We start from the raw sequence: 25,782 nt of genomic DNA on the forward strand, positions 1-25,782 counted from the left end.
TGATTCCCCTGCCTCTGCCTCCCAAGTAGCTGGGACAACAGGCCTGTGCCACCATGCCCTGCTAATTTTTTGTATTTTAATAGAGGCGGGGTTTTACCACGTGGGCCAGGATGTTCTCAATCTCCTGACCTGTGATCCGCCCGCCTCCGCCTCCAAAAGTACTGGGATTACAGGTGTGAGCCACCACGCCTGGCCTAAATGGCATGCTTTTAAGTGATAAGTACCATGTCCAATACACAGATTAAACTCCATAGGTGTCAGCCAGTTCCTACCTTAAAGCAGATAAGTAACCTGACCAAGTCTATACAGTCACTAGCAAAGATTTTAAGCTGTAATTCAAAGCCAGATATCCATCCCCATGTTTTACCATTGTGCTTCACTTCTGTATAGGGACACTGCAAGCCATTTTGAAAAGGAATCTAGAATAACAACTTGTTCCTTTTCATCTGGCATCCTGTGGAACAAAAATGCTACGCTTTCTTTGAAATACTGACTTTGAATACAAATGCCTTACAGTGATCCACAAGTCCTTAAATAATTTGGCCCCAGTAAGTCCCTGGCTAGCTCCTCCTCTGCCCTAATTCTCCTTCTGCTCTGCCTCAGTTGTGCTGATGTCTTCTTTGTTTCTCTGACAGGTTGGCCTGCTCCCATCTCAGGCCCTTTGTGTTTTCCTTTCCTTCTGGCTACAGGTATCTCCTTTATCCTCTTACTTACTTCAGGCTATTCTCCGAACATCATCTTCTCAGTAAGGCTTTCTTTAATTTCCCTATATATTTTGTAAAAACCTCAGAACTATCTCCTGCCAACACTTCAATTCTTCTATCCCAATTTATTTTTTTCTCCTGAGCATGTATCAATATTAAACTATTTATTTATTTTCCTACTTATTTATCAATAAAATATAAACTTTGTAAATAGAAAGATTTTTGCCTCTGGTTCATTTATTGCTGAATTCCAATTTCTTATAATAGATCCTGTCATCTGTTATACAGTATGCAATCACACAATATTGCTGAATATATGAATACATGCAAAGGGTTAATTATTTTCCCAAAAACTACACACACACACACACACACACACACACACACATAATGTTATGTGTTTGTCTTTTCCTCTAGACTAGTGCCAAGCTGGTAGCACCAAATGTCATTGGTGAAACAAAGGCTCTCTATCTGCACTGTCCAATACAATAGCTATAGAACACATGTGCCTTTTAAGCATTTTAATAGAGCTAGTGCCACTGAAAGACTGAACTTTTTATTTTATTAACTTAAATTTGAATAGCCATATGTAGCTGGTTACCATGTTTTTTGGTACTTGTAGTTTTCAAATTGTGGGTAGCTGGATGGTTCCACAAACACTGATACATAATTTAAATAGCCATGAAAAAGTATTTCCAGCTGCTTATTAAAATACAGTGTTAAGTAAAGGCAGATGGGTATTATGCATGGACCATGTTCCTTACATAGGGCCAGGTGGATCCCTTTTCTATGTTATATCTTTGCTCTTCTCTCTGCCTGGAATTTTGTTTATCCAGAACTTGAATTGTCTCTTTCAACCTTCATCTTCCATCTCAATTGTGCTTTTCTCAAAGAAACATTTCCTGCCATCACTATCTAATACAGCCCTTCATACCCAGGAACATACTTCTTATTATCCTGCTTTATTTCATTTTTAGCATTTTGCAAAACAAAATTTGTTTATTTGCTCTATTTGTTTATACTGGTTCTAACCCAATAAGACAGAAGTCCAAGAGAAAAAGGACTTTGTCCTTCATATGCATTGCTATAAGCTCAGTACTAAGAATAATGCCTAACATTAGAAGCAGCTCTACACATACGTGTGAAATACGTAAATGATATAATTTTTTTATTATCTTAGTACTTGTAGTTGCGATTTTAGGTGGGATTGGACAGACTGTGGCCTCATTTATAATCTCTTCAAGGTTCTTAAGTATCTTGATGCTACTACATGATAATTATTCTTCTCTGAAATTTGCTGAAAAATTGTGTGTCTGTGTGTGTGTGTGTGTGCGTGTGTGTAAATAACTATGTAGCGTTGGGCTGTTAGGTAATCTGCTTTCTGTGTTCAAATTTGCTAGGAATTTCCCATGTTACTAGAGTTTGTGTCAAATCACAGCCCAGGGCTTTAATTTCTCCTTCTGTCAAACATAACGATGACACTGGGTAATGTTTAAGAATCATTTAAGTGTAAACTTTCTCACTACAGCTATTATCACAATAGTCCCCAATAAAAATCAGCTCCTGTGGTGAGTGCAAAGTGTAAGGAGCTAAGGAAGGATCCAGGCAATGTTCAAACTCTCCCAAGAAAAATGAGGCATTTGCCCAAGGGACAAAATTAAAGTGGCCCTCCTTACTCAGTAATTGAGATAAATAATATTTTAATGCAAGATTTATTTCATCCCATATTTCTTTTCTTTTTTTTGAGATGGGGGTCTCATGATGTTGCCCAGGTGCATGCCACTGCACCTGGCAATGCCATATTTTTAAAAGTTGGATAGAATCAGTTGCCATCCTGTACTGAGCCTATTCAAGCCTTAGGGAAAAGAAAAAAATCAGTAAGACTTAGCTTTATTTAAAAAGTCATGTTATTTTCATTATGGATTTTTTTGCATTAATTTTAACTTTAAAAAAATAGTGCATAAAGTTAGAATTTCCACATTTAGCAAGTAAAAATATAGGACACACAGTTAAATTTGAATACTAGATAAACAGCAAGAAAGTTTTTGGTGTAAGTATGTCCCAAGCAATATTTAAGTTTTAGATAAACTATTGTGTGAAGCATTCTTTTAATAAAAAAGTATCTATTTTTTATCTGAAAATCATATTTAACTGCTTATCTTATATTTTATCTGGCAACCCTAATAAAAATACTATTTGTTTTCATTTAAAATTCTTTGGCACCCTGTTAATTTTGCAAACCCCTAAATTTTCCACCCAAAGAAAGTACTTTTTCCCATTCCTTTCCCAAGCATAGGATGCTGTCCATAAAACAGTTACTAGTTGAGTAACAAAATAAGAATTTATCAGCAGCAGGGAAACACTAAGACTACCTACCTAGTTGCCAAAAGGCAAATTCCACTTATTTTACAATCCTGAAATGGCAAAATCAGTCCTTAGTTTCAGCTGATTAAACAAAGATCTATTAAATGTTTTGACCTTGAAAAGAAGTATTTTTAAAAATACAAGATACAAAGAGGGTGAAAATAATCTTTGCTGTTTTGAGGATTAAACAAAAATGTTTCTTACCTCATTGTCACACCAATCATTATCTTGAACAATTCAGATATTAAATGAATCCCTCATAATTTTGAATAAACCTGTCCAGCCTCTGAGCCCAAGCTAAGCCATCATATCCCCTGTGACCTGCAGGTATACATCCAGATGGCCTGAAGTAACTGAAGAATCACAAAAGAAGTGAAAATGGCCTGTTCCTGCCTTAACTGATTACATTCCACCACAAAAGAAGTGAAAATGGCCAGTCCCTGCCTTAACTGATGACATTACCTTGTGAAATTCCTTCTCCTGGCTCATCCTGGCTCAAAAGCTCCCCCACTGAGCACCTTGTGACCCCCACCCTTGCCAGCCAGAGAACAACCCCCTTTGACTGTAATTTTCCTTTACGTACCCAAATCTTATAAAACGGCCCCACCCCTATCTCCCTTTGCTGACTGTCTTTTCAGACTCCGTCCACCTACACCCAGGTGATTAAAAAGCTTTATGGCTCACACAAAGCCTGTTTGGTGGTCTCTTCACACAGACGTGAGTGAAAAAACCCTCTTACTGCCATTTAATGTATTCTGAGTGGAGTCAGCAAAGTGATTGTCAGTTGTTCTCACATGAGACATTTTTAGCAAATGGGAAAGGGAAGCAACATTTAAAAATTCCAAGATCATCACTTATAGATAGGCACGCTTATTTACATATGTCTATTTATTCTTTTTTTTTTTTAACATTTGCTCCTGTTACTTTAAAAGCTTCTAGGCATGAATGCATTAACATATACCATTAAGTAACTTTTTGAGAGGGAAAATGCATGCTGTAGAGATGTTAACTGAACAACATTAAGGGAAACATCTGTAAACAGCTCACAGAAAAAAAAAAACATCAGTTGATCATTTAGCTATAAGCTGTAAAGAAAATGGACTTTCAGATGGAAAAAAAGAAACTCATTATAGATACCCAGTTACTTCTATAGTAGCCATGAAAACAAATACAGTAGGTACAGAGAATGTTAGCAACAGCATTATGTTTTCTGAAAGTAACTATAAACATGCATATGAGAAAGATGATTGGTTTCATAGTTATTTAATGAGAAGGATAAATCTTAAGAAAAGCTTATAGGGATTCCACAACCAAGTTTTACAGTTAGAAAGGCCTATGTGTGTGTGTGTGTGTGTGTGTGTGTGTGTTTGTGTGGAAGAGAGGGAGAGACAGAGAGAGAGAGAGAGAGATGGAGAGAAAGAAAGAAAGAAACCCATCACTTTAGGCTTTGCATGTGTTTAAATGGGGGCATGATAGCCAAAACAAAAGCTAAAATTCCTGTCTTCATCAACAAAGATCTCTCACCATGTCTGAATTCTGGAATAAAAGAGTTGTCATCATCACCTTATCTGCAATGAAAAAATAAATAAATAAAAAAGACTTACATCTTTGTTTTACATAGTTGTCATGAGTTAAATAATGCCCCCCAACCCCTCAATTTATGTCCACATGGAACATCAGAATGTGACCGCATTTGGGTCTACAGATATAATTAGTTCCAGATTTTGATATGGATTCAGCCTGGATTTAGGAATCTCTCTAAAATGAGTGACTGCTAGCCTTATAAGAAGAGGAGAGGAAACAGAGACATAGAGATGAAGGCGATGTGAAAATGGAGGCAATGGTTGGAGTGATCTACAAACCAAGGAATGCCAAGAATTGCCAGAAAACACCAGGAAACACCAGGAAAACTATTAGGGAGACTTTGGATAGTTCTCTCTCAGAGCCTACAGAAGAACCAACCTCGCAGACAAATTGATTTAATACTTTAGCTCTCCTACTGTGAAAGAAGACATTTCTGCTATTTTAAGCCATAAAGTTTATGATAATTTGTTATGGTAGTTGTAAGAATCTACTGTAACAGCTGATAAACTCTTAACCACTTAGTCAGCATTTACAGAGGTCTGATACATGTTAGGGCATTGCTTTAAACTATAATGTTCATTTGAATCACTGTTAAACTGCAGATTCTGATTCACTGGTTCTTGGAGAGTCCTGAGACAGCTCATGTCTAACAAATCACGAGGTGATGCCCATTTAGCTGCTTCTAGAATGACATTTTTTTCAGTACCAAAGCTATAATAGGGCACAACAAAGGACTCTAATCTATAAACTTTTTTGTTTTAGAGCTGCAATTTGGGTGAAAAGACATATCTTACCAACACATAAACTTATAAACAATTGAGGAATTATGTGATAATCAAAGATTAGAGAATAAATGTTATTCATGTGAGCTGGATTCATCAGGAGAAGGTTTGATATAAAAGGGACATTTTGGGGTGAGTTAAAGACAAACAGAATTAGCAACAGTAAGATTAGACCAATTAGTGCAAATTCATGATAGAAAACACTAAGAATGATATTAGAAAGGAACAATGAAGTGCATTACAGAAACATAATTATTGTTTTTATTGTTAACTAACATATTTACCAAAGATAGACATTTCTGGTAACCCAAAAGTTAATAAAAATGTGGTTATGTTTGCACATATTTATAGAGGACATTACTGTCTTTTGGTTTACAACATAAGTAACAAAAGGCAGAATATAATGTGCTATAAATAAAATTATTATTGCTATATAAAAATATCCAAGGAGGGTGAGAGACTGGATTTGTTAGGATGGGAACAATGTGAATTGTTTTGTTTTGTTTCTTTTTTAAAATTTCTTCTGTTATTTTTATTGTTCTCAATTTGGGGACTGCTATTCCAATAGCCAGAGCTTTTGAATCTTGCACTAAGTATGGAATACAGATGCAAATTTAATGCATAGATTTATAGGGGATTTTCCAAATATTATCCTACTTGCCATATAAGGTTAATGATGGTTCCAGAATGTTTCAAGGGATACATTTGGCCAATAGTTACATAATAAACACATTTATTAGTGAAATATTTCACAGTCCTTTACATTTTCTGCTCTTACCAGAAATGCCATGACAGACAGCAGTATTATCAGTAGTGACGGGAAAACAACTTTACTCCAAATTTAGTTTTAGAGATTTTGTCTTCTGGTGTATTTTCAGCATCACATGATAGACTGACATTATCTATGAGATTTGGAAACATTTTTGATAAAGCTGAGCATTGCAGCCTCCACTATGGTTAGCACCAGTACTACTACCCATACATCATGTGGATGAAGAGCAAGTGACAAGTTCTGTATAAAAGTTAGGTAATACTGGCTGGGCACGGTGGCTCACACCTGTAATCCCAGCATTTTGGGAGGCTGAGGTGGGTGGATCATCTGAGGTCAGGAGTTCGAGACCAGCCTGGCTAACATGGCGAAAGCCCGTCTCTACTAAAAATACAAAAATTAGCCGGGCGTGATGGTGGGTGCCTGTAATCCCAGGTACTCGGGAGGCTGAGGCAGGAGAATCGCTTGAACCCGGGAGGCGGAAGTTGCAGTGTGCCGAGATTGCACCATTGTACTCCAGCCTGGGCAATAAGAGCGAAACTGCATTTCCAAAAAATAAAAATAAAAAAATTAAAAAAAAGGTATGAGTTATTATTTTTTAAAAACTTTAACAGGTAAAGACATGCAAGATGATAGAAGCTAGCAATAATGTCTAATCCTAGAAAAAAACATAGATCATATGAATATTTCACTGTATGTTCTCATTATTAAATAATGCTTTGTGTACATATATTTCACACTTTCAGCTGAAGATTTTCTCCTTCAGAAGTGATTACATTATTATTTTTACAATAGAAAATTTAAACCTAATAATTTCCAACGAGATAACATTATGCTTAACCAATGAGCTTGTAAACAAAGTAATAAAGCACCAATAAAAATATGAGTTGCTTTTTGATGTAGCTGTAGATATTTGAAAATATAGAATAATTTTCCAAGTTTATTAGATGCCAGTCAAGTCAAAAATCTATAGTCTAGCCATTGGCCAGTGCCACTAGCTGTCTGAGACTGTGTGAACATTCGTAGCATTATTAAATCTTTCCAGATTTACACAAATAGTTGTGGGTTTATTTTATGACCCTATATATTACAAATATATACTAAAATGTTTATGTTTAAAATTACATAATGTCTAATATTTTCTTCAAAATGTCTAATTTCTTCATAATGTCTAATTTTCTTCAAAACAACACAGAAGTGAATGGAGGTTTGGATGGGATGTTGTATTCTTTCTACTTTTTATATATGTTCAAAATTCTCCATAATGAAAAGGGAAAATATTATATTAAACAATTCATCAATTTAGCTTCTCCTACTGGTACTCCATAGTGCTTTGTACTTCTATCAAAAAAACCTTATACCATTTCATTAATGTTTGTCTTTCATGATAGGCTGTAGGTTCCATAATGGAACTAACTATGTAATGTTATTCCCCAATGCATCCACAACAATTAGCACAATTAGTATCCAGCATGAAGTAGGGATTTACTAAATATTTATGGAGTGAATAAAGTTATGAATAAATGAACATAAGCACAACAACTGTCCTCTGGTTTCATGTAATGCTTAGAATTGAAAATACTTGGGCATGTGTTGGTGAGATAATGGACGTTCATTGCCATGGAGGCCAGCTTCACTTCTCTCCTAGGCTCACATTCTACTTGAGGCCACATCAAATAAGAATAATTGTTACTAAAATAAACGAGGAGATCATTGTGTTTGTACTGCATTGTGTTTGTACTGAACAGAAGCTGTTCCCAAATACTTTTATTTTCTGTCAATATTTTTTGTATGTTATAGCAAATACTGCATTTCCAGATGAGTGTCCTGCCTCCTTATACATCCTTTGTTCTACAGGTGAAGAAACCTGATTAAATAGGCTAGGTTTTATATTTGAAAGCAGGTAACTTAAAGAAGAACTGGCCCTAGGAATAGGCAGACTAAGGCAGCTTTGAGGATTCTGAAATTCTGTGGACACCAAATAAATTAACATTTATTAAAAAAAGTTTTTGCATTGATCTCAATACCTTGACAGAATTTCCTCCTTACTCTTCCAATTTTTTCTTCCTTCCAGCAAAGCACCAGAGATACTTTCCTGAAGTTAAATGGAAGCTATAACACATTGAATCCTCACTGCTAATTCCTACCAAGGGATAATTCAAAGACCTAGAAAGAAGGCCTAGATTTATTCTCAGCTCTACCACTCCTAGATGAAGGACCTTATTAGGCAAATCATTCAATCTTTCTGAGCCTCATATTGTTCACCAATGGGAGAATACTTCACAAAATTTTCAAAATTGCAGGCAAGAAAATACATAAAAATTATGCTATCTAAAATAAAATGTGCTACAAATTTATACGCACACACACCTAATTCAAAATTATGTACTTCTGCATTAAAGTTCTAAAGGATTAGAACAAGTGATTCATAAATTTTTATGTGAAATGTCTCCAGGGTATGCGTTTACATATCCCTCCCTCCGTTCCTTCCACAAGCAGAGGGTTGGATTAAATCACACTCTGTTTCATGGTACATTATAGACATTGGTTCTTGAAGAGCCCCTTTGTTAATTTATCAATTTATTGATTTCCTTTGTCTTAATTCCACACTCCTGTTCCCTCCCTCCTTTATGTACATCCATTAATGTGTTTAATGTGCATCTTTTGTTTATATGTTGTTGCAAAATGTACATTGTTGATTTTTGTGCCTGCTTTCTATTTCAACTGATAGTGGATTCTAGGTCTTATTTTTTTAATTAAAATATATTTTCTACATTTTTAATAACTATGTGTGCATGTCTAGACCTGGGCTTCTAACTGCATCATAGTTCTCTATCCTCCTCTAAGTCTCCAGTGTATTCTCATGGTATTCTGACACTGTGAATCTCAGGGCAGTCCACATTTTACCTATTCATTAGCCCAGTGAAGAACTCCAGATTCCACTAATTCATGGCAACCTCAAATAATGTCACCTGGGCATTTTCACACAAGTCCACCCACATACCTATGTGAAAATTGTGTGTGTGTGTGTGAGGCACTAGGAGAATATGTGGTTGAGTCATAGGGTATCCCTACAATAAACTGAAATAAGTAGCCCCAAACTGGTCTTCAGAATGGCTGCATTATTTTCTATTCTTGTGCCCAAATTTTTCACAACATCCTAATTCAAATTTTGGTGTTATTTAGTTTTCTAATATTTGCCAATAGAGTGGTTGTAAACTGATATCACATTGTTTTTTAATGGGTATTTAACTGATTACTTGTGGGTATCATAATTTCTATATATATTAATTAGCCTTTTAGGAACCTAGATCTGTTATTATCCCAACTTTTTTTTGTTTACTTTTTTGGTTAGGATTGTTGTTTTTCTATGAAAGTTGTAGGATTTGTGTGTGTGTGTATGTGTGTGTGTGTGTGCGTGTGCTCTCTTTGATAGTAACTCCATATTAGTTTTAGGTTTTGCAAATACCTTCTCTCATTTTGTCATTAGTATGTTAAGTTTGTCCAGAGTTTTAGCTTTAACTGTTCAACGGAAGTCTTTAACTTCTATGTAACAAAGCTTACCCACTTTTTGCCATATGCTTCATGGTTCTAAAATTTTATTTAAGAAGCCCTTATCCAATCTTAAGTCACTATGCTTTTAATAGTCCTAATCCTTTTGAGTTTCATTCTTGTAGGTGGTTTTAGGCAGAAATCCAGCTTCACTTATCTCCATATAGTAAATCAGTTTTTACAATGCCATTTATTAAATAATCTGCCCCATTCCAATTGAATTACAGGACTCTACATTACCTTCCCATATATATATGCAGAATTTTTCTAAATGAAATTGTGAAGAACTGACATTGTTACAATAGTTAGTCATGCATGAAAAAACACGGAGATATAATTTTTAAATTGTTTTCAATGCTCTTGACTAAAGGTTTAAAGTTTTCTTCAAAGGATTGCCATGACATGAATGTTTGTGTCCTCTTAAAATTCACATGTTGAAATTCTAACCCCCAATGTGATGATATTAGGGTGGGGCATTTGGGAGATGTTTAGGTCTTGGGGATGGGGCCCTTCTGAATGAAACTAGTGTCCTTATAAAAGAAGCTGGTGAGATACTACTTTCTCTTCCACAATGTGAGGATATAAAAAAAAAAAAAAAAAAAAAAAAAAAAAGGCCGTCTATGAATTAGAAAGCTAGTCCTCATCAGACAGCTGAATTTGCCGGCTGTTTGACCTGGACTTCCCAGCCTCCAGAACTGTAAGAAATAAATTTCTTTTGTTTATAAGAATACCAAGTTTACCATAGTTTTTTACGGCATCCCGAACAGACTAAGGCAGAGATCTTACAGGTTCGCTGTTAATGTACTACTATATACTTTATGTTTCTTGTTGCTATTCTTAATGGAGTCATATTTAATTTTATTTTTGTTATTGTTGGTTTAGGAAAAGGCTATACAATTTTCTTTCATGCAGAAACTTGCTGAACTCTTCTTTAGTTTTAATAATTTCTCAGTTGATTCTTTTAGATTTCTGGCATAAATAACTATTTCATTTTAGGTCTTTTCTTCAACTTATCACATTAAAATCTCCCAACAGCTATCTTACATAGAATAATAAAGATGACTCCCAAATGTTAATCAGCAACTGAGACCTCTCTTCTGAGCATCAGCCTAGTCTAAGGCTGAGAGAGAGAAAATATGAATTTTCTCTATAATTAAAGGAGATGAAGAGCCTTTCCTTACCTTACAAGAGGATTTACTTGGAGAGAGTATTGAAATACCTTACTCTACTTCTTTGGTATTTGAATACATCTCTCTAGGGAAAAGACAATCTGAGTGTCTCCAGTCGGGGGAAAAAATTTTCTAGGATTTAGTCTTCAGTACCACCTTTAAAAATTAAACATATATCTCCTGAGATAAGAAAATCTCTCTCAAGTTCTCTAATTAGTTGCAATTTTTAATAACTGTATGTTAAGATATATTTTAAATACCATACAATTTATCAATTTAGAGTATATAAATCAATCATTTTAATATATTCACAGCTTGTTCTAACATCACCAAAGTTGATTTTAGAACATTTTAATCGCCCCCAAAACAAATCCCCTATCCATTTGCAGTACTCTCTATTTTCCTCCCAACTTCCCAAACCCTAGGCAATCAGTAACTTACTCTCCACTGCTGGGTCTGACCTGCAGATCCTGGCCAAGTGACAGATGAAAAATTGTACGTAGACACAGGTTTTTTTGCCTGACTGCATGGCTAGGGGACCGGGCCACCACAGACACCAAGGAAGGTGCCATAAAGTGTCCCAGCAGCTGTAGCCCAGACAAGCCAGTGCTGCGGGCATTTACTTAGTGAAGAATTAATGACAAAGGCTTCGAATCAACACACTTGTGGGTAATTAACATGGTCGCCCCCCGGAGAGGGCTGTCCTTTGTGTGGATGATTTAAAGGCAGGTTCTGAGGCCTAAGTAAACTAACTTATCTAGATCAATCCCTTTACATTATTTTTTGTTATCTACCTTTTGCTCTCAGGCTCCAAATAAGAGAATTTGACTGCCTTCAGCCAAATTATCTTTCGAACCTTTTGCAAAACCTCCTGGCCTTCCAAGAAGGTTTGCGTTTTTCCTATGATTTCTTGCACCACCCTGACTGATCTCCTACATTCCATCTCTATGAATTTGCCTATTCTGGATATTCTGTATCATTTTATGAAATGAATAATTCAGTATGTAGTCTTCTGTTGGCTTCTTGCAAGTAGAAGCATGTTTTCAAGATTTATCTATGTGGAAGCGTGTATTGATAGTTCATGCTTTTTTATGGTAGAATAACTTTCCATTATTTGAATATACAATATTTTACTTATCCAATATCAGATAATAGATATGTGAATTGTTTCCACTTTTGGCTACTATAAATTCTGCTACTGTGAACATCCATGTACAAACCTTTGTATGGACATGTTTACATTAAAATATATGTAGATACATATATACCTAGGACTGGGTATATGGAATGACTGGGTCATATGGTAATTTTTAGTTTGAGGAACTGCCAGATGAAAACTAGCTGCACCATTTTCCATTTTCATCAGCCATGGGTGAGGGGTCAAATGTCTTCACGCCCTTACCAGTACTTGTATTTCTGCCCTTTTTACTACAATCATCCTAGCAGTTATGATGATTGCAGTTTTGATCTGTATTTCTTGATAGTCAAGAAAGATGAACATCTTTGAATTATCATGGAACCTTAACAAAAATCAATTGATTGTGCATGTGAGAAAAGTTTTTTGGACTCTCTTTTTTTTTTTTTTTTTTTTTTTTTTGAGATGGAATCTCGCTCTGTCACCCAGGCTAGGGTGCAGGGGCGCCTGCAACCTCCGCCTCCCAGGGTCAAGTGATTCTCCTGCCTCAGCCTCCTGAGTAGCTGGGATTACAGGCATACACCACCACACCTGGCTGATTTTTGTATTTTTAGTAGAGATGGGGTTTCACCATGTTGGTCAGGCTGGTCTCGAACTCTTGACCTTGTGATCTGCCCACCTCAGCCTCCCAAAGTGCTGGGATTACAGGTGTGAGCCACCATGCCCGGCCTGAATTCTCATTCTATTCTATTGATCTTTATGTCTCTACTTTGGCCAGTACCATGCAGCCTTGATTACTGTAGCTTTATAGTAAGTTTTGAAATCTGTAAGTATAAAACGTCCAACTTTGTTCCATTTATTCAAGATTATGAATCCTTTAAATTTCCATATGAATTCTGGAATCAGCTTGTCCATTTCTCCAAAAAAGTCAGCTGGGGTTAGATAAATGATAATTAGATAATTAATAAAGATCAATCAACAGATAAATTTGGGAAGTATGCCTTCTTCATAGAAGTATCTTCTGATCCATAAATATAGTCTTTCTGTTTTAGTTCTTTGAACTTGCTCCCGGAATGTTTGCATTTCTCTTCTTATGTTTATTACTATTTCAGTTTTATAATAATAGAAAATTTTTTCTTAATTCCATTTGAGGTTGTTTATTACTAGTGTATAATATAGCATTCTTGTATATTGATCTTGTGTCCTATACCCTTGGTAAACTCATTAAATTAGTTGTAATAGGTGTTTAGTGAATTTCTTTGGATTTTCTTTAAATAAGAACATATCATCTGTCAATAGAGATAGCTTTACTCTTTCCAATTCAGATGCCCTTTATTTTCTTTACTTGCCTAACTGCACTGAGAAGAAATTCCCATATAATGTTGAACAGAAATGTCAAGCAAAAATATTTTTGCCTTTAAAAATGTTTTTTTGAGGGAAATCATATCTTTTTCACCATTAATGATGTTGTTTCTGGATCTTTCATAGATGCTTTTATCAGGTTGAGAATGCTCCCCTTTATTCCTAGGGTGCAGAAATCAAGTTTTTCCCCTTTATTTTATTGATATGGTATACTATATTGATTTTCATAAGTTGAACCTATGTTACATTCCTGAGAGTGATCAAACGTGATATTGTATCTAATCATTTTTATATGTTGTTGGTTTTGATTTGCTACTCTTTTTTGAGAATTTTTATATCTATATTCATAGGAGATATTAGTAGCTTTATTATGTTGTCTTTATCTGGTTTTAGTATTAGGGTAAAATTGGCTTCATAGAATGAGTTGGGATTCTCACCCTTCCCTTCTATGTTTTGGAAGAGACATGACAAATCCATATTAATTTCTCTTTAACATTTGGTGATATTCACTAGTGAAGCCATCTACTTCTGAATTTCCTTTGTGGGAAGTGTTTTAATTACAAATTCAATCACTTTATTTGTTATAGGTATATTCATATTTTCTCTTTCTTCTTTAATTATTTTGATGTTTTGAGTCTTCCTAAAAATGTGTTTAAGTAATCAAATAAATAGCATACATTTGATTATAATATACCCTTAAAATTGCTATTATTTCTGTGAGTTAAGTAGTAATGTCCCCTCTTTTATTCTTAAATTTAGTAATTTGAGTATTTCCTATTTTTTATTGTTCAGCTTAGCTAAAGTATTGTCAACTTTGTTGATCTTTTTAAAGAAAAATCTATTTTTCAATTAATTTTGTTTCATTAATTCTTTTTTTGTATTTTCATTCATCTAGTTCATTAATTTCTCCTCTAATATTTATTAGTGACTTTCTTCTAATTGCTTTGGATTTAGTTTTTTCCTCTTTTCTAATGTGTCTATATACTTGATTTGAGATCTTTCTTCTTTATTAATACAAGATTTACAGCTCGCTCTACATTTGTCTTGAAGTACTATTCTACTGCAACCCAGAAGTTTTGGAATGCGATTGTCCTCATTTTCATTTATCTCAAAGAATTTTTCTAATTTCCCTTGTGATTTGTCCTTTGATCCATTTGGTAGTTAGAATTAAATGGCTTAATTTTTACATATTTGTGAATATATTATATATTTATTTATAATTTCATTATATTGTGACTGGAAAACATACTTTGTGTGATTGCAATCCTTTAAAATTTAGAGAATTTTTTTTATGGTCTATCATATACAGTATGCTGAAGAATTTTCCATGTGCATTTGAGAAGATGGTGTATTCTGCTGTTTTTAGGTGGAGTATTTTATAGATGTTATTACATCTAATTGATTTATACTAATAGTCAAGTGTGCAATTTTCTTGTTGATCTTCTTCCTGTTTTTTCCATACATTATTGAAAATGGCATATCAAAATCCCCAGCAATTATTGTTGGGTTGTCTGTTACTCTCTTCAATTCTGCCAGTTCTTCCTTCATGTAATTTTGGGGTCTGTTATTAGCTGCATATATGTTTATAATTGTTGCATGTTTCTGCTGGATAAATTTTTTATTATTATAAAATGTCTCTCTTGATCTCTAGTAACTTTATTTGTTTTAAATTATTCATTGTTTGATACTAATATAGTAATTGTAGCTTTCTTGTGTTTGCTGGACTCATGATTTTTTTTCATTATCTTACTTTGAACTAATTTTATCTTTAAATCTAAAGTGTATCTCCTGTAGATAACATGAAGTAGGATTTTTTCTCCAGTCTGACAATCTCTGCCTTTTGACTCAATTGTTTAGTTGTTTCACATTCAATTTTATTTTTACCATTGAATTTACTCATTTTACTTTTTCTGTATATCTCATCTTTTTTACTCCCCTATTTCTCCACTATTACTTTTTCATTGTGAATGAGTATTTTCTAGTGCAACATGTTTATTCTGTTACTAAATTTTTTTATCTTTTTTTGTTGTTCATTGTGGTGTTAGTGGCTTCTCTAGGGCTTACCATATATCAACTTATATTCTGATACTGATTTACATTAACATAAATTCTAGAGAGATATAGAAGCATTATTTTCTTTTCTCCCATTTTGAACTATTAGTATTATACAGATTGTAAGTGTTACAAACCCAATAATAAATTGCTTTAACTGTTACTGTCTATAATTTGGTATATTTTTAAGATGGTAAGGGAAGAAAGAATAACTATATACTTACAGGGTTTGGTGTATTAACATTCTTATTTACCTCTTCTAATTCTCTTCACTTAGTTATATTAATTTGGGTTCCCAACTAATGTTAATTTTTTTATTTCAATTGATCTGTGCTCCTACCCACAACTTTTGAGGTCTTATGCCAAACATATTATACTAGTATATATTATAGCCCATCAATACAACTATGTAGATATTGATTAATAAAAATGCTTTGAAATCAATTAAGAAAAGAGAAGAAATATACACATACATGTACATTAGTCATTACATAACCATTTTTACCCATGCTTACTGTTTGTATATGTGGATTTGAATTACTGTCTTAGATCACTTCCTTTCAGCCTAAAGAACTTTCCTTATTATATCTTGCAAGGAAGGTCTACTAGCAATGAATTCTTTCAAGTTTTGTTTATCTATAAGAGTATTTATTTTACCTTCATTTTAAAATATACCATTGCAGAATTTAAGATTCTTGTTTGACAGTTGTTTTTTGTGGGGCTGGGGGGTGGGGCTTATTTTTAGTACTTTTCAATATGTCCTTTCACTTCCTTCTGACTTCTCCTATTTCTTCTAAATTTATTGGAGTTACTTTTTATATGAGAAATCTTTTTTTTCTTGCTGTTTTCAAGAGTTTTTTTTTCCCTTTGGTTTTTGACATTTTACTATGATGTGTTTATTTGGAACTTTTTGTGTTTATGTTCCTTAGAGTTTGTTGAGCTTCTTGGATATGTAAATGAAAGCTTGTCACTAAATTTGTGGAATTTTCAGCTATTATTTCTTGGATTCATTTTCCTGCTTCTTATTTTCTCTCCTCTCTCCTGATACTCCCAGTATATGTATATTTGAGAACTTAATGTTGTCCTCTGCCTGGTTCTACTGGTATCATACCAACTCTTGGGCTTTGCTAATTGATAACTAATTGATTTACTCTTATGACCTGGGGTATAAATTGCTCCACAGTCTAACTTAATTAAAAATTTGAAGGGGTAGTTTTTCAGGCTCATAGTTGACAAAAACATAGCTAACATTACAGCACATAGAAATATAACTGAAAATTTGTCAGATTTAGAACAAGACAAAGATGTCCACTTTCACAATTTTTATTACATGTACTACTGAGATGTCCTATATAAAGCAATTAGACAAGAGAAAGAAATAAAGGGCATCCAAATTTGAAAGGAAGAAGTTAAATTATTCTTGTTCACAGAAGACATACCATGCTATTATATTTTGAAAAACCATTACAAAAAACCTCCACCAAATAAAACTGTTAGAATAAAAAAAAATTCAGTTACCTTATGGGATACAAAGTCAACATATAAAAATTAGTAGCATTTATATATGTAAACAACAAATATCTGAAAAAGAAATCATTAAAACAATTCCATTTACAATAGCCACTAGAAAGATAGATAGATAATGCTTAGGAATAAATTTAACCAAAGAAGTGAAAGATCTATACAAGAAAACCATAAGACAATGATGAAAAAAATTGAAAAGGACACCAAAAAATGGATAGATAGCTCATACTCATGGTTTAGAATAATTAATATAATTAAAGCCAGGCACGGTTGCCCACACCTGCAATCTCAGAACTTTGGGAGGCTGAGGTGGGTGAATCATTTGAGGTCAGGAGTTCAAGATCAGCCTGGCCAACATGGCAAAACCCTGTCTCTACTAATAATACAAAAATTGGCCAGGCGTTGTGGTATGCACCTGTAATCCCAGCTACTCAGAAAGTTGAGGCACAAGAATCGCTTGAACCTGGGAGCTGGAGGTTGCAGTGAGCCGAGATCAAGCCGAGATCAAGCCTCTATACTCCAGTCAGGGAAACAAATTGAAACTGTGACTCAAAAAATTAATATATAAATAGAAAGAAAGAAAATTCATATAATTAAAATCTCAATTCTACTCAAAACAAAAACAAATAATTAACATAATTAAAATCTCAATTCTACTCAAAACAATTTACAGATTCAATGCAATCACTATAAAAACACAATTGACATTATTTCAAAAATAGAAAAAAAGTCTAAAATTTGTATGGAACCATAAAAAAACCTGAATAGCCAAAGCAATCCTGAGGGGGGAGGGGGAAATCTGGAGGCATCATACTAGCTGACTTCAGAATATACAAGAAATCCATAGTAACCAAAACAATATGATTCTACCAGTAAAAAGACACATTGACCAATGGAACATAATAGAGAGTACAGAAATAAATTCACGTATTTACAGCCAACTCATTTTTAACACGTGAAGAACATACGTTGAGAAAGGAGAGTTTCCTCAGTAAATTCTTCCGGGAAAACTGGATAACCAAATGCAGAAGGATTAAGCTAGAGCCATAAATCTCATTATATACAACAATTAAATCAAAATGTATTAAATGTAAGACATGAGACTTTAAACTGCTAAAATACAGTATTAGGGAAATGCTTCAGGATACTGGTTTGCATGAAGATTTTTGGGGTAAGAACACAAAAGTTCAGGCAATAAAAATACAAATAGACAAATGGGATCATATTAAGCTAAAAAGCTGCAAAGCAAAGGAAACCATCAACAAAGTGAAGAGAGAATCTCCAGAATGGGAGAAAATATTTGAAAACTATTCACCCTAAAAGGGCTTAATAACCGCAATACAGGAGGATCTCAAAAAACTCAATAGCAAAAAACAAAACAAATAATCTGAACTGTTAAAGGATAAAATATCTCAATAGACATTTCTCAAAGAAGACATACAAATGGCCAAGAAGTACATTTTAAAAAGTTCAAAATCACTAATCATCAGGAAAATGCAAATCAAAACCACACTAAGATATGATCCCATCCCTGTCAAAATTACTTTTATTAAAGAGAAAAAATAACATATGCTAGTGAGGATGTAGCAAAAGGAGAATTCTCATACACTGTTGATGGGAATGCAAATTAGTATAGACAATAAGAAAAACAATAAGCAAGATTCCTGAAAAAATTAAAAATAGAACTACCGTTTGATCTAGTAATCCTACTACTGGCTATATAGCCAAAGAAAATAAAATCATCGTGTGAAATAGATATCTGTACTCTCATGTTTATTGCAGCACTATTCACAATAGCAAATATACAGAGTCAAACTATATGTTCAATGGATGAAAGGATAACAAAAATGTGTTACATATACACTATGGAATATTTTTCATCCATAAAAACAAGGAAATCCTGTCATTTCCAGAAACATGGATGAAACTGGAGGTCATTATGTTAATGGCTTAAGTTAATAAGCCATGCAGAGAAAGACAAGTATTGCACATACTCACTTATATATGTATTAGTTTCATTCATATTGCTGATAGACATACACAAGACTGGGCAATTTACAAAAAAAAAAAAAATGTTTAATAGACTTACAGTTCCATGTGGTTGGGGAGGCCTCATAATCATGGTGGAAGGTGAAAGGCAAGTCACGTCATGCATAGACAGCAGCAGAAAAAGAGAGAGCTTGTGCAAGGAAATTTCCATTTTTAAAATCATCAGATCTCATGAGATTTATTCACTATCACAAGAACACCAAAGGAAAGACCAACCCCCATGATTCAATCACCTCAAAACAGGTTCCTCCTATGACACATGGGAATGTGGGAGTTACAATTCAAGATGAGATTTGGGTGGGGACACAGCCAAACCATATTATTCTACCTTTGTCCCTTCCTAAATTTCATGTCTTCACATTTCAAAACCAATCATGCCTTCCCAAGAATCCCCCAAAGTCTTAACTCATTTCAGCATTAACTCAGAAGTCCACAGTCCAAAGTCTTGTCTGAGACAAAGCATGTCCCTTCTGTCTATGAGCCTGTAAATTCAAAAGCAAGTTAGTTATTTCCTAGATAAAATGAGGGTACAGGTATTTTGTAAATATAGCTATCACAAATGGGAGAGATTGGCCAAAACAAAAGGGCTACAAGCCTCATGACAGTCTGAAAGCCAGTGGGGCAGTCAAATATTAAAGCTCCAAAATGATCTCCTTTGATTCCATGTCTCACATCTAGGTCACGCTGATGCAAGAGGTAGGTTCCCATAGTCTTGGGCAGCACTGTCCATGTGACTTTGCAAGGGACAGCCTCCCTCCCGGCTGCTTCCATGGACTGGTATTGTCTGTGGCTTTTCCAGGCATGCAGTGCAAGCTGTCAGTGGATCCATCATTCTGGCGTCTGAAGAAGAGTGGCTCTCTTCTCACAGCTTCACTAGGTGGTGGTCTCTGTTTGGGGGCTCCCACCCCACATTTCCCTTCTGTACTGCCCTAGCAGAGGTTCTCCATGAGGACCCTGCACCTATAGCAAATTTCTGCCTGGGTATCCAGGCCTTTCCATACATCTTCTGAAATCTAGGAGGAGGTTCCCAAACCTCAGTTCTTGACTTCTGTGCACTCGCAGGCTCAACACCACATGGAAGCTGCCAAGACTCGAGGCTTGCACCCTTTAAAGCCATGGCCCAAGCCCTGTGTTGGCCCCTTTCAGCCATGGCTGGAGCGGGTGGGACACAGGGCACCAAGTTCCTAGGCTGCATACAACATGGGGACCCTGGGCCCAGCTCACAAAACAATTTTTTTTTTCCTAGGCCTGCTGTGAAGACCTCTGACATTTCCTGCAGACACTTTCCTCCTTGTCTTGGTGATCAGCATTCAGCTCCACATTGCTGTGGGAAAGAGGGTTTCTGGGGTGCCAGTTGAGTTGGTCTCCCCTGTGTGAGACACCCATGGGAAGCCATGGGCAGCCTCTGAGGAGAAAAGTCTCCTGATTGCCTTCATGTCTTTATGCCCCAAGAGCATAACCGCTCAGTGGCATTCCACAGGTTGCTCAGGGAGATAACACTCCCTTGAAGCAGTGGAGTATAACCAAACATCTTGGCTCCTCCTGATACCCGCTCCCACCCGTTTTAGTCCTGATAAGTTAAAGATCTTAAGTAGTTTAGACACACACCTTTGCTCAAGGAAATTCACAGAAATCGCCACTGTTATATACATCTTATCGAATGACTCACAAGTTCTCCTTCACTGATTAATCCTTTTCCTCATCCCTTCCTCCCCGTCCCATCAGCCCTAAGAACAAAGATCTTGTAAACCAATAAATTGGGTGGAGCCCGAGAGCTCTGGGCTGTGAGCAAGCCTCCGATGCTCCGGTCCCCTGGACCCGCCTTTTAAACGCTTATTCTGTCTAACTCCTTTGTCTCCGCCAGACTCAGGGTACCCACTGGGTGGTGTGGGGCTGTTTTGCCCAACACCTGGTGCCCAATGTGGGGCCCCCCATAATCTCTACAAAGTGAAGATTACACCAGAAGATTACACCAGTGAAGAAACACCAGAGCATGGACAGTGCAGGACGACTGACGAAGGACGCCCGAGTACGTTTTTACTTCAGGCTCCACAGGTAAGTAGGGCACTTGGAGAATTCCAGGGTAACCTCGTGGAAAATATGGGTCAGGCTGAAAGTAAGTTTGCTAATTACTTAAGCCTGGCATGGCAGTTCTTGTGCCGCGGGGGGCGGGGTGTAATTGTGAGTACCCAAAATCTCACATCTTTGTTCTGTCTTGTAGAAAAGTATTCTTGGTTCCCAGAATATGGAACCATGAATGTAAAAGATTGGGACAAGGTCGGATCAGACTTAAAACGAGCACAACAAGAGGGCCACAATATTCCCTTTTCTGCTTGGTCTGTGTGGTCGGCAGTTAAAACAGCACTGGAGCCCTTCCACACTGAGGAGGAGGAGGAGGAGTTTCAGGATGATATAGAAAGTTTAATAACCAAGAGTCTGATAATCAGCAAAGTGAACCATCACAGTCTAATTTAAAAAAGGGAGAGAAACAGGAAACTATATATGCTGACCTCCAAAAACTTATGAAAGAAACAGTTCCACCTACTGCAGAAACAGTGCCACCTACTGCGCCTTTAGGGGAAGGTCCGTAGCGGCCACCCCAACTTCAGCGTTATGAATTTTTGGAATGGGAGCCTGAGACACGGCTTGCTCTCCCATTGTTGCATGTCATGCCATTAACTATGGCAAAGCAAACCTTCAGGCTTGCCCAACAGCCAATTACGGTGAGAGAATGATCCAGGCTTGTCCACCTGTTAATTATGGTAGAGGAATGCTGTGAGCCAGCCCAAATACAAATTATGGTGCAGGCAAATACAATCCAGGCATCCATTTGCCAGGCACAAGAAATGGGGGATTTGGATGCTTGGCAGTTTCTGGTAATTATTTCACCAGCTGAGGAGCCCAGAGGACATGCTCAAGCATGCTGGGAGACATTTCCTTTTAAAATATTAAAAGACTTGAAGCAAGAAATTGGACAATATGGGCCAAATTCTCCTTATGTTCATTCCTTGTTACAATCTGTGGCTTATAACCAGCGTTTAATACCTATGGATTGAGAGTCATTAGCCTGATCCATCCTGTCCCCCTCTCAATTTCTCCAATTTAAAACCTGGTGGACAGATGAAGCAACAAATCAGGCATGCAGAAATGCTCAAGCCCAACCTCTCATTAATATCACAACTGATCAATTGCTTGGAATCGGACAGACATGGGGTACTCTAAATCAACAGATGGTAATGGGTGATGAGGTTGTTGATCAGCTCAGAACTATATGCCTAAGAGCCTGGGAAAAAAATCATGACCCTGATACTACTTAACCTTCTTTTAACTCAGTTCGTCAGGGTCCAAGGGAGCCTTATCCAGATTTTATCACCCATTTGCAAGATGCAGCTCAAAAGGCTATTTCGGATTCTCATGCCAGGAAAGTGATTGTTTAGCTGCTTGTTTATGAAAATGCTAATACAGAATGTCAGGCAGTAATTACACCTATTAAGGGAAAGGCAGATCTAAATGAGGAAAAAACTTTAAGTGAATACATTAAAGCCTGTGATGGCATTGTGGGACACTTATATAAGGCCAGCCTCCTTGCTCAGGCAATGGCAGGACTAAGCGTAAAAAAAAAAAAAACACAGGAGTGTTCCCTGGATCTTGCTATAATTGTGGACAGATAGGACATACAAAAAGAGAGTGTACAGAGAGCCAAAAAAGGCAAAACTCAGGAGGAAAAAGCAGGGAACCAGGTACCTGTCCTAGATGTAAAAAAGGAAAACACTGGGCTAATCAATGTCATTCAAAGTTTGATAACCATGGACGGCCCTTGCTGGGAAACAGAGAGAGGGGCCAGCCCTGGGCCCTGATTCAATACTGGGCATTCCTAATTCAGGACGGGATGTCCCCAACTCCAAACGGAGTGTTCCCAGCCCAGAGTATCCCTGTACAAATGTACAGCAGTTGTCCCCCTCCATAGCTAAAAGGGTGGCAGTAGTCTTATGCTGTACAGAAGCCTTATTCCTCCTTCCTGGGGAGCCTCCTAGGAAGGTCCCAGTGGGAGTTTACGGCCCATTGCCAAATGGCATGGTGGGACTTATACTGGGAAGGGCCAGCTTAAACTTAAAGGGAATTCAAGTACATATTGGAGTAGTGGACTCTGATTGCCAGGGAGAAATTCAAATTGTTATCTCCTCCACTCTTCCCTGGAGTGCTAATCCAGGTGACAGAATAGCTTAACTGTTGCTTTTACTATATGTTAAGTTAGGAGAAAGCTCAGAAAAAAGAACAGGAGGATTTGGAAGCACAAATTCAGCAGGCAAGGTTGCCTATTGGGTAAATCAAGTCTCTGACAATAGACCTATTCGTATGGTCACTTTTCAAGGAAAACAATTTGAGGGTCTGGTCAACACAGGAGCAGAGATGTTGATCATAGCTCTTTATCAATGGCTAAAAAACTGGCCCAAACAAAAGGCCCCATGGGTCTTGCTGGGGTCAGAACTGCTGCAGAAGTTTTCCAAAATACTTTTATCTTAGCATGTCTTGGTCCAGAAGAACAGGAAGTCACAATACAACTTCTAATTATGCCCATTTCCGTCAGCTTATAGGGGAGAGATCTGCTTCTGCAATGGAGCACAGAAATTTCAATCCCTTCTCCCCAGTATGGTCAAGCTAGTCAAAAAATAATGTCAAACATGGGCTATGTTCCCAGAAAAGGCCTAGGAAAACAGGAGATGGGCATCATTGAACCTATACAGGTTACTGTAAAAAAAATGACTGAAAAGGATTAGGTTATCATATTTACGGGTGGTTACTGTTGAGCCTCCAAGTCCTATTCCCTTAAAATGGAAGACCCAAAATTCTGTTTGGGTCAATCAGTGGCCACTTTCTCAGGAAAAACTGGGGGCCTTACAGGAATTAGTCAAAGAGCAATTAAACAAAGGAAACAGTGAGCCCACATTTTCTCCATGGAATTTGCCAGTATTTGTAATAAATAAAAAATCAGGCAGATAGCGCATGCTAACCGACTTACGAGCGGTGAATGCAGTCATCCAACCAATGGGGGTCCTGAAGCCCCAGCTTCCATCCCCCACGATTCCTAGAGACTGGCCATAAATAATTATAGATTTGAAGGATTCCTTTTTTAATATTCCTCTAGCAGAGTCTGATTTTGAGAAATTTGCTTTTACTATTCTTGCTATGAACAACAAGGAACCAGCAGTCAGATATCATTGGAAAGTCCTGCCTCAGGGTATGTTGAGTATTTCTACAATTTGTCAAACTTTTGTGGGGAAGACTATTCAACCTGAGAGAGATCAGTTTCCCGATTCGTATATCATCCATTATATGGATGACATATTGTGTGCAGCCAAAAATCGAGACCGACTTAGCCAGTGTTATTCATATTTACAGGAGGTGGTAGCCAATGCTGGATTGCTCATAGCACCAGATAAAATTCAAACAGCCACTCCTTTCCAATATTTGGAAATGCAGGTTCAGGAAAGGGCAATTAAACCCCAAAAGGTTCAAATTCAAAAAGACTCTCTGAAAACTTTAAATTATTTTCAAAAATTATTAGGGGATATAAATTGGATTCGACCTACTTTGGGAATCCCTACCTATGCTATGTCAAATCTGTTCTCTATTTTAAGAGGAGACCCTGCTCTCAATAGTAAACAAGAACTGACTCCTGAGGCTGCCAAAGAATTACAAATGATTGAAGCAAAAACATAACAGGCAAAGGTTAATAGAATAGACTCCAGTTTACCATTACAGTTCATTGTGTTCCCTACTCTCCATTCTCCTACAGGGGTTATAGTTCAGCATGAGGACTTAGTTGAATGGTCTTTTCTGCCTCACAATACTATTAGAACACTCACAGTATACTTGGATCAGATGGCAATCTTGATTGGGCAAGCTCACCTTAGAGTTGTTAAACTTTGTGGCTCAGATCCAGGTAAGATTATACTAATGAATAAAAATCAGATTCGGCAAGCCTTTGTTAGTTCAGTCAATTGGCAAATAAATTTAGTTGTCTTCACTGGAGTTTTTGACAATCATTATCCAAAAAACAAAATTTTTCAGTTTTTAAAGCTAACTACATGGGTTCTTCCAAAAATTACCCGTAGTGCTCCATTGGAAGAAGCAGTGACTGTGTTTACAGATGTCTCTAGCAATAGAAAAGCAGCTTATGTAGGACCTAAAAACAGAATTATTCAAACTGACTTTCGATCGGCACAGAGGGCTGAATTACAGGCAGTTATAGCTGTGTTAGAAGACTTTAAGCAACCTGTAAATATTGTCCCTGATTCAGCTTATGTTGTTCAAGCCACTCAATACACAGAAACTGTACTCATTAAATATCTTGTGGATGAACAACTCTATCAGCTGTTTTCTTCTTTACAAAAGGCAGTGTGTGATCACTGTTTTCCTTTCTATATTACGCACATTTGAGCACGTACTAATATTCCTGGGCCCCTTGTAAGGGCTAACGATCAAGCTGATTTACTAGTTTCCACTGTGCTTACTAATGCCCAAGATTTTCACTCCCTAACACATGTTAATGCAGCAGGACTTAACAAAAATATTAGATTACTTGGAGACAGGCAAAGACATTGTGCAACATTGCCCTCAGTGCCAGGTACTACAACTGCCACATGAAGGGGCTGGTGTTAACCCATGGGGATTAACCCCGAATATGCTGTGGAAAATGGATGTAACCCATGTACCTTCATTTGGGGAACTTTCA

General features: G+C 36.5%; 3 annotated features.

The window, feature by feature from the left end:
* Positions 3,124-3,688: an enhancer, noted in NCBI's record as "OCT4-NANOG-H3K27ac hESC enhancer chr2:82232537-82233101 (GRCh37/hg19 assembly coordinates)". NCBI's record gives its function as "activates a minimal SCP1, AML or CMV promoter by ChIP-STARR-seq in naive H9 embryonic stem cells {active_cell/tissue: H9 hESC(naive)}" and the evidence as "EXISTENCE:reporter gene assay evidence [ECO:0000049][PMID:30033119]".
* Positions 3,689-4,252: an enhancer, noted in NCBI's record as "OCT4-NANOG-H3K27ac hESC enhancer chr2:82233102-82233665 (GRCh37/hg19 assembly coordinates)". NCBI's record gives its function as "activates a minimal SCP1, AML or CMV promoter by ChIP-STARR-seq in naive H9 embryonic stem cells {active_cell/tissue: H9 hESC(naive)}" and the evidence as "EXISTENCE:reporter gene assay evidence [ECO:0000049][PMID:30033119]".
* Positions 11,420-11,941: an enhancer, noted in NCBI's record as "OCT4-NANOG-H3K27ac hESC enhancer chr2:82240833-82241354 (GRCh37/hg19 assembly coordinates)". NCBI's record gives its function as "activates a minimal SCP1, AML or CMV promoter by ChIP-STARR-seq in naive H9 embryonic stem cells {active_cell/tissue: H9 hESC(naive)}" and the evidence as "EXISTENCE:reporter gene assay evidence [ECO:0000049][PMID:30033119]".

The sequence above is a fragment of the Homo sapiens genome, chromosome 2 (assembly GCF_000001405.40).
Source record: "Homo sapiens chromosome 2, GRCh38.p14 Primary Assembly".
NCBI lineage: Eukaryota > Metazoa > Chordata > Mammalia > Primates > Hominidae > Homo > Homo sapiens.